The sequence below is a fragment of the Homo sapiens genome, chromosome 12 (genome assembly GCF_000001405.40).
Source record: "Homo sapiens chromosome 12, GRCh38.p14 Primary Assembly".
In the NCBI taxonomy this organism is placed as follows: Eukaryota; Metazoa; Chordata; class Mammalia; order Primates; family Hominidae; genus Homo; species Homo sapiens.
In genome coordinates this window covers 64385083-64402632 of record NC_000012.12, presented here as the reverse complement: position 1 = coordinate 64402632, position 17550 = coordinate 64385083, and the positions used below count along the sequence as shown (strand labels likewise).

Sequence of the window (17550 nt, the reverse complement as noted above, 5' to 3'; positions counted from 1 at the left end):
ATAAACAAGAAGTATCTCTTGTTTTACTTCTGAGAAAACCAAAGTCATGGTATTCTCAAGACTAGAGATAATTCAACAAAGCCTGTGAATCTCCCTCATTTGGAATCTCTCTGGGCCCAATCTGTTTTCCACTGCTAGGGCGCTGCTGCTAAAGCTATATCATATGAAACCACCCTCCCTAAAAGCTCAGGGACCATCTCCAAATAGGAGGGCGAGTGAAACTGTAAGAGCTGGATTGATGGGTGGAATCTGGAAGCTAAAGTAACTCCATCTTTGGTACTAATCTGCCATGTTGGTTTCTGATTAACCCTGTTCCCGGAAGGCCTTTAAGATTTCAAGTTGTGTGAGAGCACATACTGTAAATTCTGCCCTTACGTCAAAACAGCCTTGATGTTATTGTACTTCAGTTGTCTACACATCCTGACGTGGTTTGGCTGTGTCTCCACCCAAATCTCATCTTGAATTGTAATTCCCATAATCCCCTCATGTCATGGGCGGGATCAGGTGGAGATAATTGAATCATGGGGTTGGTTTCCCCCACCCTGTTCTCGTAATAGTGAGTTTTCATGAGATCTGATGGTTTTATAAGGGGCTTCCCCCTTTGCTGGGCACTCATTCTTCTCTCCCCTGCCACCATGTGAAGAATGATGTGTTTGCTTCCCCTTCTGCCATGATTGTAAGTTTCCTGAGGCCTCCTCAGCCCTGAGGTACTGTGAGTCAATTAAATCTCTTTCCTTTATAAATTACCCAGTCCCAGGCATTCCTTTATAGCAGTGTGAGAACAGACATAATACACATCCCTTCTGAATTACATATACCCTTTCCATATGGGGGTTAATGGTGAGGGGATCCACCATCTTGTTTCACTGCTGCTGGAGACACAGGCATGGCTTTTTTCACAAGTTGCTATGAATGTTATTTCTAAGAAAAAAAATCTCAGGCTAGGATTTCTGCCCTACCTATTTCAGTATATCTTTCGAGTCTAGCACAGTGCCAGCCTGCTAGTTTCAACTCAATAACTGAATCATTGCATGAATTCTTATATTAGCTGTGATGATCAACTGTGGAGTATGAAGGCCCAATACTAATCTTGGGCTGAGTGCCTCTGCAATCTGTATGTTCAGCATATTCCAGGCCTCATCCTAAAGAATATGGCAATTCAATCTATCGTATTATAGATGTCTTTACTTGCTGTTTTGTTTGTAAATTCATTTTATGGCTACTTCTTATGTTGAATGTTATACAAAGCCTATCTTCAGTTTATCTACAGTTTATCTACTAACATTAGCTCTTTCGTTTATGGTAGTTGAAATACCTAGAATTGTAGAAATCTCTTTCAACTTTGTAAACTCATATTATTTCAGAACAAATAAAGAGGCTAGGCGCGGTGGCTCATGCCTGTAATCCCGGCACTTTGGGAGGCTGAGGCAGATGGATCACAAGGTCAAGAGATCGAGACCAGCCTGGCCAACACAGTAAAATCACGTCTCTACTAAAAATACAAAAAAAAAATTAGCCGGGCATGGTGGCACATGCCTGTAGTCCCAGTTACTTGGGAAGCTGAGGCAGGAGAATTGCATGAACCTGGGAGGTTGCAGTGAGCCGAGATTGCGCCACTGCACTCCAGCTTGGGCAACACAGTGAGACTCCATCTCAAAAAAAAAAAGCCGGGTGTGGTGATGCATGCCTGTAATCCCAGCACCTTGGGAGGCCGAGATGGGTGGTTCAGGAGGTCAGGAGTTCAAGACCAGCTTGGCCAACATAGTGAAACCCTGCCTCTACTAAAAATACAAAAATTAGCAGGACGTGGTGGCACATGCCTGTAGTCCCAGCTACTCGGGAGGCTGAGGCAGGAGAATTGCTTGAACCGGGAGGTGGAGTTGCAGTGAGCTGAGATCGCACCACTGCACTCCAGCTTGGGCAACAGAGTGAGACTTCATCTCAACAACCACAACAACAACAACAACAAAAAGAACAAATAAAGAAGCACTTGGTAGAATCCAACTGAAGAGGACCTAAGAGAGGTATTACATTTGACCATTCCATATTCTGCCTCCTCCGTCCATGAAGGGATGGGCAGTTTCTCATCTCAGATGAAAATGTTAGTCATCAACATGTTGACAAATAACACTATCATTTTGTAACTGCCCAAAAGGCTCCTTTTGTAACTGCCCAATAGGTTCCCTGCTGCCTAGACAGACCCAATTTATCAAGATAGGGGAATCTCAATAGAGAAAGAGTAATTCACATAGAGCTCCCTGTATGGGAGACTGAGTTTTATTATTATTCAAATCAGTCTCCCTGAGCATTCAGGGATCAGAGTGTTTAAGGCTGATTTGATGGATGAGGGAAGGTCAGTGAATTGAGAGTGCTGATTGGTTGGATCAGAGATGAAATCAGAGAGAGTTGAAGCTGTCCTCCTGCGCACTGAGTCAGTTCCTGGGTGGCGGCCACAAGATCAGATGACCCAGTTTTTTGATCTGAGTGGTGCCAGCTGATCTATCAAGTACAGGGTTTGCAAAATATCTCAAGCACTGATCGTAGGTTTTACAATAGTGGTGTTATCCCCAGGAACAATTCGGGGAGGATCAGAATCTTGTAGCCTCCAGCTGCATGATTTCTAAACAATAATTTCTAATCTTATGGCTAATTTGTTAGTCCTACAAAGGTAGTCTAGTCCCCAGGTAAGAAGGGTGTTTTGGGAAGAGGCTGTTATTGTCTTTGTTTTAACTATAAACTCTAAACTAAGATCCTTCCAAAGTTAGTTCAGCCTATGCCCAGGAATGAACAAGGACAGCTTGGAGTTTAGAAGCAAAATGCAGTTGGTCAGATCAGATCTCTTTCACTGTCTTGGTTATAATTTTGTAATGGTAGTTTCAATTTTAACATAAAGCATGTATGCTTGCATATGACAATGCTTTTATGTATTAATTGCCAATATTTTTGAGCATGTTTGCCAAACAGTTTTTTTTGTTTTTTGTGTTTTTGTTTTTGTTTTTGAGACAGAGTTTCACTCTTGTTGCCCAGGCTGGAGTGCAATGGCGCGATCTCGGCTCACCGCAACCTCTGCCTCCCAGGTTCAAGCGATTCTCCTGCCTCAACCTCCCGAGTAGCTAGGACTACAGGGATATGCCACCACACCCGGCTAATTTTGTATTTTTAGTAAAGATGGGGTTTCTCCGTGTTGGTCAGGCTGATCTCGAACTTCTGACCTCAAGTGATCTGCCAGCCTTGGCCTCCTAAAGTGCTGGGATTACAGGCATGAGCCACTGCGCCTGGCCATCAAACACAGTTTTAAAGTGTTTATACATCGATCCTCACAACTCTATGGAGATAGATACTATTATTATCCCCATTTTATAGACAAGGAAACTGGAGTGCATAGAAGTTAAGTAGCTGAACTGGGATTCATTTGTAGTCATTGAAATACAACTAAAAAATAAAAAAAAGAGCTGGGATTGAAACACACATAGTCTGACTCTAGAGTGTGTGCCACTAACCTATCTCTCAAATGAAGGTCCATTAGGATTGATGACAGTGTAGGACTATAGTACTGAGTCTGTTCTTCCTATAAATATGCTCAGAAGGCCCTTTCTTATAATGACAAAACTTTATTTGTACCTGTCCCATGTCTCCCTTTTCTTTCAATTGCTGAAGTACTTGAAAGAATTATGATAGATAACATTTGTATATGTGGTCCCTTATGGTTTTCACCGTGCCTCCATGTATCTTCTAATTTGTTCCTCTAACATTGTAGGGATGGAGCAGGTATCATCATCACCATTTTAAATTTACAGATGAGGAAACTAAGGTAGATCTATTTTAAGGAATGTATCCCGAGTTACATAACTGGTAAATGGTAGACTAGAACCTTGGATTCTTGATTCAAGATTTCTTGCCTCCAGTACATCACATTCGTTTCCTGTACGTACTCTTCCTTTCCTTCACTTTTTGTAATCTGTTTTTTCACTCCCAAGTCACTCAACTAAAACTCCTACAAATTTTCCAGTCGTGGGACCATTTTTATTCATTTATTCTTTTCTTTCAACTTCTCTGTTGACTATTTCCTTCCTCTTCAGAATTCTCTTCTCTTTTGACTTCTGACCCTATATTATTATTAAACTCCTTTTACTTTTTTGACCATTCCTCTTTGTCTTCCTCACCATATCCTTTTGCTCCCTTAACATGTTTTCTTCCCCAGGCCTTTGTTCTTAGCCATCTGGTTTTCCTTTGCCTACACCTGCTCCCTTAGTAAATTATCTATTTCTGCAGTTTCAACACGCAATTCTATGAAGATGACTTCCAGTTCTGTACTTCTGGTCCTAATATTCTGTACTGCCAACTTGCATTCACAGATGCCTGCATGTCTCACCAGCACCTCAACTCTAACATGTCTGCAATGGACTAAATGTGTGTGTCTCCCAAAATTTATATGTTGAAACCCTCACTCACTGTATGGTATCTGGAGGTGAGGCCTTTGAGAGATAATCAGGTCATGAGAGTGGAGCCCTCATGAATAGGATTAGTGCCCTTGTAAGAGGAGCTAGAGAGCTCTCTTTCCACCATGTGAGGATACAAGAAGACAGACAGCCATCTTCAAACCAGAAATTAGGCCCTCACAAGACACTGGATCTGTCAGCACCTTGATCATGGGCTTCCAGACATTTCTTTTCTATAAGTTTTTGGATTTTTAAAAATTCTCAGCTGAGTGTGGTGGCTCATGCCTGTAATCCCAGCACTTTGGGAGGCTGAGGCGAGTGGATCACGAGGTCAGGAGTTCAAGACTAGCCTGGCCAAGATGGTGAAACCCCGTCACTACTAAAAATACAAAAATTAGCTGCGCGTGGTGGCAGGTGCCTGTAATCCTGGCTACTCGGGAGGCTGAGGCAGAGAATTGCTTGAACCCAAGAGGCGGAGGTTGCAGAGAGCTGAGATCATGCCACTGCACTCCAGTCTGAGCGACAGAGGGAGCCTCCGTCTCAAAAAAAAAAAATTCTGTACAGTGACCATGTACTACTTTGATAATCAGAAAATTAAAAAAAGAAAAACAAACTTTTTTTTTTGCTTTGTCACCCAGGCTGGAGTGCAGTGGTCCAATCTCTGCTCATTGCAACCTCTGCCTCCTGGGCTCAAGCAATCCTCCCTCCTCAGCCTCTGGAGTAGCTGGGACTACAGGTGGGCACCACCATGCCCAGCTAACTTTTTTTAGTAAAGATGAGGTCTCACTATGTTGCCCAGGCTGGTCTTGAACTCCTGAGCTCAAGCTATCCACCTGCCTTGGCCTCCCAAAGTGTTGGGATTACAGGTGTTAGCCACTACAATTGGCCAAAAAATTTAAAAACTGCCTATAATAAAAGGTAAAAAAGAAATTGTTTCATTCACTCTTCGAGCATTTATCGAATTTACCTCCCTCATGAGGTCTTTCCAGATGTCCTCAACCAGGTTTGTGCTTGATCATATCTTTGACACAGCTTGCTAGTTTTTTTTTAAATCTCTAATTGCATTAATATGTTTTAATATGTTTTTGTTGTGTATTAAGTTTGTGTGGTTATCTTACCTATTAGTCATTTTTTGTGTGTATGAATGAGAAAATAACTTTATTTCATTTTGGGGAGCAGGCAGACATTCAGCCTCAGAACTTCTGGAATTGCTTCTTGATGTCTGCGACCTTGGTGACCTTGAGCACATTGAAGTACACCGTCTTGTTCAGGGACTGGCACTTATCCAACGTGACAATGTCGCTGATCTGGACATCCTGAAGCAGAGGAACAGGTGCATGGACAAGTTCTTGTGGTACTTCTCGAAGCAATTGTACTTGCGGATGTAGTGGAGATAGTTTCTCTGGATGACAGTGGTCCTCTGCATCTCCATCTTGGTCACCATGCCATACAGGATCTGCCCTCAGATGGAGACGTTACCAGTGAACAGGCATTCCTTGTCAATGTAGGTGCCCTCAATAGTCTCTTTGGACCTCTTGAAGCCTAGACCGATGTTCTTGTAAGTACCATAGGAGCTGCTTCTTGCCAGTTTCCTTTAGCAGTACCCTCTTCTTGCTTTGAATGATGGTCAGCTGCTTGTGGTAGGCATGCTCAGTCTCAATCCACCATCTTCTTGGCTGCCTGAGAAAAAACTAGACAATTATTATTATTATTATTATTTTGAGATGGAGTTTCGCTCTGTCACCAGGCTGGAGTGTGGTGGTGCGATCTTGGCTCACGGCAACCTCCGCCTTCTGGTTCAAGCAGTTCTCCTGCCTCGGCCTCCTGAGTAGCTGGTGCACCACCACGCCCAGCTAATTTTTGTATTTTTAATAGAGACGGAGTTTCACCATGTTGGCCAAGATGGTCTCGATCTCTTGACCTCATGGTCCACCTGTCTCGGCCTTCCAAGATGTTGAGATTACAGGTGTGAGCCACCATGCCCGGCCAAAACTAGACAATTTTTAAAGATTGAAAGTAAGTGTTATCCTGATTCTGTTTATGGCTAATAAATATTTCTCAGTAAATATTTGTGAAATGTATTGAGTTGAACCAAAAAGAACATAATTACGAGCTGATAGCTGCTGAGTTCTGTGTCAGATTCTCTGTGTGTTTCATCTCATTGTTCTTAAAGCCGAATGTCATTGTCACTAAAAGCTTATGCATAATGGGCTTCTTGGCAGAGAAAGAAGTTGGAAAACAGGTCAGGAATGCTGCCTTTATTGGTCCTATTCCAACCATTAGTTCCTCTTACAGGAAGTACATGTGCAGCAGGAAGCCTGAGAGGCAAAATAGAGCATTGGAGTATTATTCAGTGAAAGAAAACATTAATCCAAATCATTTGTCTGGTTTTTATAACAATGACATCTTTCCTTTGTATGTCATCTAATTACTAATAGTAGATTACTAATAGTAGATATTTAAATGATCAGTATCCATTAATAATAAGTATAGGGCTGGGCGCGGTGGCTCACGCCTGTAATCCTAGCACTTTGGGGGCCAAGGCAGGTGGATCACCTGAGGTGGGGAGTTCAAGACCAGCCTGACCAACATGGAGAAACCTTGTCTCTACTAAAAATACAAAAATTAGCTAGGTGTGGTGGTGCATGCTTGTAATCCCAGCTACTTGTGCGGCTGAGGTAGGAGAATTGCTTGAACCTGGGAGGCAGAGGTTGCGGTGAGCCAGAGGTTGCAGTGAGCCAAGATCGCACCATTGCACTCCAGCCTGGGCAACAAGAGCGAAACTCTGTCTCAAACAAAACAAAACAAAACAAAAACAACAACAACAAAAAACAAGCAACAACAACAACAACAAAAAAAACAACTAAGTTGAAGCACTAAGAGATTCCTAAATGAGACACCTTTAAAAAGTCAGGTTTAGGGCTGGGTGTGGCGGCTCATGCCTGTAATCCCAGCACTTTGGGAGGCTAAGGCAGGCGGATCACCTGAGGTCAGGAGTTCGAGACCAGCCTCAACATGGAGAAACCCCGTCTCTACTAAAAATACAAAATTAGCCGGGCATGGTGGTGCATGCCTGTAATCCCAGCTACTTGGGAGGCTGAGGCAGGAGAATTGCTTGAACCCGGGAGGTGGAGGTTGCAGTGAGCCGAGATTGCGCCACTGCACTCCAGCCTGGGTGATAGAGTGAAACTCCTTCTCAAGAAAAAAAAAAAAAGGTCAGGTTCTATTTATAGGCCACATATTCTAAATATCTTACTGTGTGTACTGTCTGTCTTTAGTTTCAAGTGGGGGGAATGGGAATACTTGGGATCCCTAGAAGCATTGAAGAGTACTTCTAGTTTGGAATCCTTACATGGTTCTCATGGCCTAACCTGCTGGTCTCTTCTCCACTAAAAATGTGACCCAAAAAAGGTAAAATTTGCCTTGGGTCAATCTCAGAAAGTTAGACTTGTATCCAATCAGAAGAATTTAATATTACCTTGTAGATAGGGAGCAGAACGACCACATATGTAACAGGAAATCACATACTTGTTGAACTTATTCTTTCTTTCTTTCTTTATTTTTTAAGACAGAGTCTCACTCTGTTGCCCAGGCTGGAGTGCAGTGGTGCCATCTTGGCTCACTGCAACCTCTGCCTCCCGGGTTCAAGTGATTCTTGTGCCTCAGCCTCCCAGGTAGCTGGGACTACAGGTGCCCGCCACCACGCTGGCTAATTTTTGTATTTTTTGGTAGAGATGGGGTTTCACCATGCTGTCCAGGCTGGTCTCGGACTCCTGACCTCATGTGATCCACCCACCTGGGCCTCCCAGAGTGCCGGGATTACAGGTGTGAGCCACCATGCCCAGTCAACTTGTTCTTTAGACGCTTATATAGTATTTACTCCAGTCCAGGTTCCTGTTCTAGGTACTATTGAAACTTTTTAAATCCTCGTAATAACCCTTTGGGGGTTGGTACTATTATCTCCATTTCATAGATGGGGAAACTGAGGCATAGGTCATTCAGCTACTGAATAGGAGAGCTGGAATTTGAACCCAGGTCATCTGGCTCTACAGTTCTATGCTCATAACTACTGTGCTTCGAATTATTTAAATTGACCATCCCTGTACCTAAGACCACTGTTCTGATGAAATTCAAGGAGACTGCATTTGAGGATTAGTCCAGGTAAGTAATGTCCCATTCCTTTTGATAATTTTGTCAAGAAACATCTATTAAGTGCTTGATTGCAGGAGTTCCTTTGCCAAATGTTTCTTGAGTTTGGATGAACTTACAAGATAAGGAGGGGGTACCTATCTTTGGTGCATTTGGGTTAACCATGTAAAACAGGGGTATCCAGGCTTTTGACTTCCCTGGGCCACATTGGAAGAAGAAGAATTGTCTTGGGCCACATATAAAATATACTAACACTAATGATAGCTGATGAGCTAAAAAAAAAAAAAAAAATCGCAAAAAAATCTCATAATGTTTTAAGACATTTATGAATTTGTGTTGGGCCACATTTAAAGCCTTCCTGGGCTGCAGGTGGCCTATGGGCCATGGATTGATGTAAAGCTTACCAAAAGATAAGGGAATGTGAATGCTTCATATGTCTGTAGTGCTCATAGAGTCTATAATTCATCACATTTGATCCTCACATTTTATAGATGATGAAACTGAGGCTCGGAAAGGTTGTGACTTTCCAAAAGTCTGATAGATAACAGAGTTAGTGCCCTTATCTAGTTCTCCTGACTCCAAATCTAGTGATCTTTCCTATATATTTAAATCCATTTCCTGCAATAGAAATTTTGCTGTTACCTTGGCAACACTGCTGTACAGTGCCTGGAAACCATTGTATTGCCTTCTCTGTGTGCCACGAAGTTAAAAGTTTAACTGAAGTCACCTTGATCACCAATCTCCCAGTCAAATTCCCTTCTTTCTGTGCTTCATTTTATTTATTTATTTATTTTTTAATTTTAGATACAGAGTCTTGCTCTGTTGCCCAGGCCAGAGTGGAGTAGGGCAATCTCAGCTCACTGCAACCTCCACCTCCCGGGTTCAAGCAATTCTCCTGCCTCAGCCTCCCGAGTAGCCAGGATTACAGGCATGTGTTACCACACCCAACTAATTTTTTGTAATTTTAGTAGAGATGGGGTTTCACCATGTTGGCCAGGTTGGTCTCAAACTCCTGACCTCAACTGATCTACCCGCCTCGGCCTCCCAAAGTGCTGGGATTACAGGCATGAGCCACCACACCCAGCCTGTGCTTCATTTTAATGTTTGCTAAGCTTAGTGCACTTGTCACCAAAAGCTTATTCAAGATGGGCTTCTTGGCAGATATATCAAGTATGCTGTCTTTTTTGGTCCTGGTCCAGTCATTCTGTTTCTCTTAGTCCTGGGAAGTAGGTATGAAGTAGGAAGCCTGAGAGACACAAAATAGTAGACTAAGATAAGGCCTTTCCCTTATGTGGGCCTCACTTTCCACCTCTGATATTGTAGTCATTCATCTTTCAACTGCTTTTGTGAGGTGTGGCTATTCAGCAGAGGTGAAGCGCCTTTGCCTTTCTGTTAGTTTGAAGCAACAAACTCTATTTAGAGTGGTTTAGATAATGAGTAGTCTTTATTTTGGAGGAAATAGCCATGCGGCATCTTTTATCAATAAAGGTTGCTACGGATGGTGTAGTTCATTCATTTTTCATCCATTTATGAAGTTAGGAAGGCTCAGATGTGTGATGAGATCCTAAGAAAACTTTAACTACTAGGTCATTTAAGATTTTGCCAGCAGGTGGCACTTCTCTTTACTCACTTGAGTTCCTTAACATGATCTTAGACTTAAGTCTAGCCAGACCCTTACATGGCGGTGGTTCATGCCTGTATTCCCAGCACTTTGGGAGGTCAAGGCAGGCAGATCAGTTGAAGTCAGGAGACAAGCCATGGCCAAGATGGTGAAATCCTGTCTCTACTAAAAATACACACAGAAAAAAAATTAGCCAGGCATGGTGGTGTACACCTGTAGTCCAAGCTACTTGGGAGGCTGTGGCAGGAGAATGGCTTGAACCCAGGAGGCAGAGGCTGCAGTGAGCCGATATCATGCCACTGCACTCCAGCCTGGGTGACAGAGGGAGACTCTGTCTCAAAAAAAAAAAAAAAAAAAAAGTTTAGCCAGACCAAAACATTTCTCTTTCCCTTTGTACTAGTGTAGTCTACAATATCTGTTTATGGATTGTAATATATTTATACCTTCTTTCCACAAGGGATTTGAAGTTGCTTATAACATACAGTATACAATAATAAAATATGTAGAAAGGGAGAATATAAAGAATATATCAAATTTGATTCAGGGTTGCTGGCAGCCACAGCAATGAACGATATGGTTTCATTATCAGGTTTTTGGGTCAATGGGGAGGGGAAGAGAATAACTTTTCTAGGATTCGAAATAAAAAATGGAACTTCTGACTTAGAGCATTTCTGTTGTGCCCTTCTCATTTCTCTAACCTAATTAGTAAGTTATTCTTGGCCTGTAAAAACTAAGGAATACTTACTCCTCTGCAGCCTCAGGGTATGTAATCCGCATTCTTCAGTCTATCAGCTTCAACTTTTCAAGATGCCAGCATCACCCATTCATTCTTCCTGCATAGATTGTCCTGGGCATTGGAAACAAAACCATATGCCTTAGGTTGGTTTGGGTGTGCTCACATCAATTCATGTGAAGAATCCCTTTCTCAAAGGCTGGGCGAGGTGACTTAACGCCTGTAATCCCAGCACTTTGGGAGGCCGAGGCGGGCGGATTACCTGAGGTCGGGAGTTGGAGATCAGCTTGACCAACATGGAGAAACCCCGTTTTTACTAAAATATACAAAATTAGCTGGGCGTGGTGGCGCATGCCTGTAATTCCAGCTACTCAGGAGGCTGAGGTAGGAGAATCGCTTGAACCCGGGAGGGGGAGGTTGCGGTGAGCCGAGATGGCGCCATTGCACTCCAGCCTGGGCAACAAGAGCAAAGCTGCGTCTCAAAAAAAAAAAGAGAAAAGAAAAAAAAAATCCCTTTCTCACTGGTTGGAGAAAGAAGACCTATGTTTACACTCCGACAATATCAGAAAGCTGTGCCAGGCCATGTTATAACCAAAAGCTAAATCTGTGTGATTGGGTTTAATAGGTTTCTAGGGTTGTTAAAAATAAATCGGTAAATTAAACTCTTTCAAGTTTCTAACAGGAAACCAGATTGAAGCTGGCTTCCATTACCAATAAAGTTTGTATTGGATGGTGTGATCCGCAACAGAGTACGCAGTGGTGGGGACTGGCATTAGGGGTGGGCGGGAGAGACCCTAAAAATCCACCGCCCTTCGGCCGCAGGGGACTTCACGGTGATGAGCCCGAGGTGCCCATCAACTCGGGCCTGAAGGACCAGCGTCTTGCCCCGCCCATCGCCGTCTGAGGTTAGGACAAAGATCGAGAGGCTGGACAGGGCTGGGGAGGGCGCTCCAGGGAAGCCGACCTAGCGTCGATTCCTGCAGTTGCGGCCCGGGTCCCCGCGCCTGGAGAGGAGGCGACGCGTGGCCGGCGGCTTTGTGGCGCGCGGGTTCCAGCGCGGGGGCGGGGAGAGGGCGAGCTGAGGGCCTCGAGTCCCAGCACTCCGCCACGCTGCGGGCGCCGGGCATGGCCAGCCCCTTGCCGTCCGGCTTCCCCGCGCGCAGGAACAGCCGCCTGGATGTGTTCCTGCGGCGGCATCTGCCGCCCGAGGTCTACGACGCGGTCCGCGCCTACGAGCCATGCATCGTGGTGTCCAACTCTGAGAACCACATCCTCAAGTATGTGGTGCTAAGCGACCGGCTCGTCTACCTAACCGAGAACCCGCCCAAGTCCATCCGGCGGGTAGTGGCTCTGCGGGACGTCGTGGCCATTGACCTGGTGAGCGGCGCGGGTGGGCAGGCGGGCTCGGGAGCGCAGTGAGAACTCCCGGCTGGGGCCCCCAAACCCAGCCCTCCTGCGCGGGGAGGGCTGCCCCATCCTGCCCTCGACTCCCCTCCTCTTATTTGAGAACGAGGAACACAGGGAAGCTGTGGATTGCTGTGAGCACTCCTAATACAAACACGTCTCCCATTCTCCTCGTGTCTGCCTGTTCACCCATTCTCCCGCCTCCCCTACCCCACGTAGGGCTACAGGTTTGAGAACCGAGCTCCCTATCAAAAATACCTTTTAAAGTCATTCCTTTGTTAACAAAGCACCTAGTCAGTGCCAGGCACTGTGCTAGACTCGGAGGATGCAAAAACGAAAGAGGGCCCCTACCTAGAAGCAGTCGCTGGAGGGCTAGAAAGCCAACACCCGTGCAAATAAATGCTGTGTGTTAAGTGCTGTTATATCTCATTTACTTTTTTGCCCCCGATGCTTAGAGCATGTTAGATGCTCAATAAGAATAAATGCATAAGGCCGGGTGCCGTGGATCACGCCTATAATCCTTACACTTTGGGAGGCCAAGGTGGATAGATCACCGGGGGTCAGGGGTTCGAGACCAGGCTGGCCAACATGGTGAAACGCCGTCTCCACCAAAAGTACAAAAATTACCCAGGCGTGGTCGTGTGCACCTGTAATCCCAACTACTTGGGAGGCTGAGGCACAAGAATCGCTTGAACCTGGGAGGCGGAGGTTGCCGTGAGCCGAGATCGCCCCACCTGCACTCCAGCCTGAGCTACAGAATGAGTGAGACACCGTTCCCCTCCACCCCCTCCCCAGCAAAAGAATAAATGCATGAATAAGCAGATGCGTTAATGAGATGCGCACAGGACGCTTGGCAATCTCAGGCGGCTCACTTGATCCAAACTGGGCGCAGGGCCTGCTGGGAAACGTCTTGGAAGGAGGGGCGTCGACGCTAGGAGCTGGGCTTGAAAGACGTCGGGCCTGCCACAGCCTGTCGCCGGTTTTCGGGTGCTGTTCCTGTACCCCTTTCGTCCAGGAATAGATTTACCTTGTAAACCAGCAACAGACTGGAAGCACGGTCTCCTCTCCAATTACTGTTTTCCCCGCCTGGCTCCCTTTGTCTGAGCTGCTCTCCAGGTGTGTTCTTGGTTTTTCCGTTGGGGACAGGTGTCTAGCCTCGTTTTTTCATTCCCTTGACTGAGCCCCAAGGGAGAGGTTGGCGAGACGCTTGATGGAGCTGTTTTGCTGAGGAGTCATGGCTTGTTTTGAACGAGTCTGTAAGAAAAGAATAAAATTAAATGAAAAAAAAAGATTTTTTTTCTACTCGGAATACCTTTGTGAACTAATGTAACTGTGCCAATTTATTTTCTTTGTTGAGGAAAAGTTCGGGATACAACATTGCTTTTCCTCACTACCATTGTTTCCATTCTCTTGAACTAAAACAATTTTTTTGGAGACAGTCTCACTCTGTCATCCAGGCTGGAGTGCAGTGGCACCATCACGGCTCACTGCCGCCTCAGCCTCCAGGGCTCAAGCGATCCTCCCACATCAGCCTCCCAAGTAGCTGGGACTACAGGCTCATGCCATCACAGCTGGCTAATTAAAAATTTTTTTTTGTAGAGACAGGATCTTGCAGTGTTGCCCAAGCTAGTCTCAAACTCCTGGGCTCAAGTGATCCACTACAGACAAGAGCCACAGCACCTGGCCTTGAACTAAATTTTTTTTTAATTTAAATTTCCTTTACTAAGTGTTTTTTAAAACTTTAGACTGGGTAAGGTGGCTCATGCCTGTAATCCCAGCATTTTGGGAGGCCAACGCAGGGGAATCACATGAGCCTAGGAGTTGGAGACTTAGGTAACCTAGCAAGACACCGTCTCTACAAAAATAAAAATAAATAGCTGTGTATGGTGGTGCATGCCGGTGGTACAAGCTACTTCATAGGCTGAAGTGGGAGGATACTTTGAGTTAAGGAGTTCGAGGCTGCAGTAAGCCATGATCTCACCACTGCACTTCAGCCTGGGTGACACAGCTAGACTGTCTCTAAACAAACAAACAAAACACTTTAAAAGGGGCCAGGCATGGTGGCTCACGCCTGTAATCCCAGCACTTTGGGAGGCTGAGGCAGGTGGATCACCTGAGGTCAGGAGTTCGAGACCAGCCTGGGCCAATGCGCCACTGGGTGTGGTGGCGCATGCCTGTTATCTCAGCTGCTCAGGAGGCTGAGGCAGGAGGATCACTTGAGCCAGGGAGACAGAGGTTGCAGTGAGCTGAGATGGCGCCGTTGCACTCCAGACTGGGCAACAGGAGCAAAACTCTGTCTCAAAAACAAAAAACTTTGAACGCTCAGCTTTTTCTATTGTCTCCAGTGTAAACATTTATTGTTTTGACACAAAAGTAATGATTTTAGGATATTGTTACTCTCCTCCAAAAGAGACATTTATTTATGTCAATAGTGTTATATATCTCTTGTTTTTTTGTTTTGTTTTGTTTTGTTTGGAGACAGGGCCTTGCTCTGTTGCCCAGGCTGGAGTGCAGTGGCCCGATCTCAGTTCACTGCAACCTCTGCCTCCCTGGCTCAAGTGATTCTCCCACCTCACCCTTCTGAGTAGCTGGGACTACAGGCACGTGCCACCATGCCTGGCTAGTTTTCGTATTTTTTGTAGAGACAGGGTTTTGCCATGTTGCCCAGGCTGCTGGGCTTAAACGATCCACCCACCTTGGCCTCCCAAAGTGTTGGCATTACATTACAAGCATGAGCCACTGTGCCTGGCTTGTTTTTTTGTTTTGTTTTTTTTTACCTGTGAGAATCTAAAAAGTACTGTAAAGCTCCTTTGGCCCTGAGCCAAGAATCCTACAAAAAAGGATACCAATTTATTTATTCATGCTTTCTGGACAAGGTTTACCTTTCAGGCATAAAGAATGTGTAATGGCTATAAATGTACTGAACAAATCTAAGTTTTCAACATTGTTGGTAGCTTGAATGTCCATCTTGCACAATATAGTTCAACTTTGGAAGTTGCGATAGGCAGAATAATTAAGCCCCAAAGATAAGCACACGCTAAATCCCTGGAACCTGTGAATATGTTACATGGAAAAGGAGAATTAAGGTTGCAGATGGAATTAAAGTTGCTAATCATTTGTCCTTGAAATAGGGAAATTAATCTGGAGTATCTGGGTGGGCTCAATGTGAACACATCTTTTTTTTTTTTTTTTTTTTTTTTTTTTTTTTTGAGATAGAGTCTCGCTCTGTTACCCAGGCTGGAGTGCAGTGGTGCAATCTTGGCTTGCTGAACCTCTGCCTCCTGGGTTCAAGCAATTCTCCCACCTCAGCCTCCTAAGTAGCTGGGACTACAGGCACGCACCACCATGCCCGGCTAATTTTTGTAGTTTTAGTAGAGACAGGGTGTCGCCATGTTGGTCAGGCTGGTCTCAAACTCCTGACCACCTGGCCTCTTACACTTTTAAAGATGTGTTTATGGCTGGGCGCAGTGGGTCACACCTGTAATCCCAGCACTTTGAGAGGCCCAGGCGGGCAGATCACCTGAGGTCAGGAGTTTGAGATCAGCCTGGCCAACGTGGTGAAGACCCATCTCTACTAAAAATATAAAAATTGGCCAGGTACGGTGGCTCACTCCTGTAATCCCAGCACTTTGGGAAGCCGAGATGGGCGGATCACCTGAGGTTGGGAGTTTGAGACCAGCCTGACCAACATGGAGACACCCCGTCTCTACTAAAAATACAAAATCAGCCAAGCGTGGTGGCACATGCCTATAACGCCAGCTACTTGGGAGGCTGAGGCAGGAGAATAGCTTGAACCCGGGAGGCGGAGGTTGCGGTGAGCCAAGATTGCGCCATTGCACTCCAGCCTGTGCAACAAGAGTGGAACTCCGTCTCAAAAAAAAAAAAAAATATATATATATATAAAAATTAGCCAGCAGTGGTAGCACACACCTGTAAGCCCAGCTACTCAGGAGGCTGAGGTGGGAGAATCGCTTGAACCCGGGAGGCGGAAGTTGCAGTGAGCCAAGATTGCGCCATTGCACTCCAGCCTGGGCAACAGAGTGAGACTCTGTCTCAAAAAAATAAAAATTAAAAATTACAAAAAAGGTGGAAGAGAGGGGCAGAAGAAGAGTCGGTGGCCAACTGATGCAGCATGAGAAAGACTCGACTAGTCATTGCTAGTTTTGAAGGTGGAAGAAGGCCTTAGCCAAGGAATGTAGGGGGCCTGGAGAAGCTAGAAAAGGCAAGGAAATGGATTTTCCCCTAAAGCTTCCAGAAGGTCCTGCCAACACATTAATTTAATTTATTTATAGAGATGGGGTCTTGCCATGTTTCCCAGGCTGGTCTCAAACTCCTGTCCTCAAATGATCCTCCCACCTCGGGAGGATTCTAAAGTTGTAACTGCCCAATGGATTCACCTTGCCTGCTGCCTAGACAGAGCCAGTTTATCAAGACAGGGGAATCACAATAGAGAAAGAGTAATTTATGCAGAGCAGGCTGTGCAGGAGACTGGAGTTTTATTATTACTCAGATCAGGCTCCCCGAGCATTCAGGGATCAGAGTTTTTAAGGACAACTTGTAGGTGGGGGGAAGCCAGGGAGTCAGGAGTGGTGACTGGTTAGGCAGGAGATGAAATCATAGGGTATGGAAGCTGTCCTCTTGTACTGAGTCAGTTCCTGGGTGGGGGCCACAAGATCAGATGAGCCAGTTAATCGATCTGGGTGGTGCCAGCTGATTCATCAGGTTCAGGATCTGCAAAATATCTCAAGCACTGATCTTAGGAACAAATAAAGTCCTTTATGCCTCTGAGCCCCAGCTCTCCTTGTTCCATGTTAGGCCAGATTAACTCTAGTTCCTGACATATGTCACATTTATCTCAGGGGAAAAAAAGCCCTTACAAATAATACAGATAAAATTCTATTCCCTTCACAAAGGAAAAAAAATTAAAGGTAACAGCAACAAAATTTAGACAGTTAGACCAGAGTCTACACATGTTTGTTTTGAAGAAGGGTACAAGTGAGATTTCCCTTCCAGCAAAAATGAGCTTAAAGTGCACTTCACGATCTCAGTATGTGTTTGATGTGGTTCATTTTCTCAAAGAAAGGGTTTCCAAGTTACTTGGGCGGATATTTTATAAAAGGCTGACATTTCCTTAAAAGTTACTTTTGAAAGAGTTCTCTAGAGTTCTGCTCTTGGGTGCATCAAAATACCACTTAAGCCCTTCT

At 45.0% G+C, this 17550-nt stretch overlaps 1 protein-coding gene and 1 pseudogene across 7 annotated transcripts in view; one reads left to right on the top strand and one right to left on the bottom strand.

Annotated features, from left to right (window-relative positions):
- On the bottom strand, window positions 5633-6623 carry RPS11P6 (ribosomal protein S11 pseudogene 6; annotated as a pseudogene).
- Window positions 11875-17550, top strand: part of C12orf56 (chromosome 12 open reading frame 56) — a 125997-nt gene continuing 120321 nt past the window's right edge. For all 7 annotated transcript variants that reach the window (NM_001099676.3, NM_001170633.2, XM_047428257.1 and 4 more), the window contains exon 1: window positions 11875-12319. In NM_001099676.3, coding sequence (NP_001093146.1) covers window positions 12068-12319 — 252 coding nt within the window. In that variant the 5' untranslated portion in view covers window positions 11875-12067. The remainder of the gene's footprint in view (window positions 12320-17550) is intronic.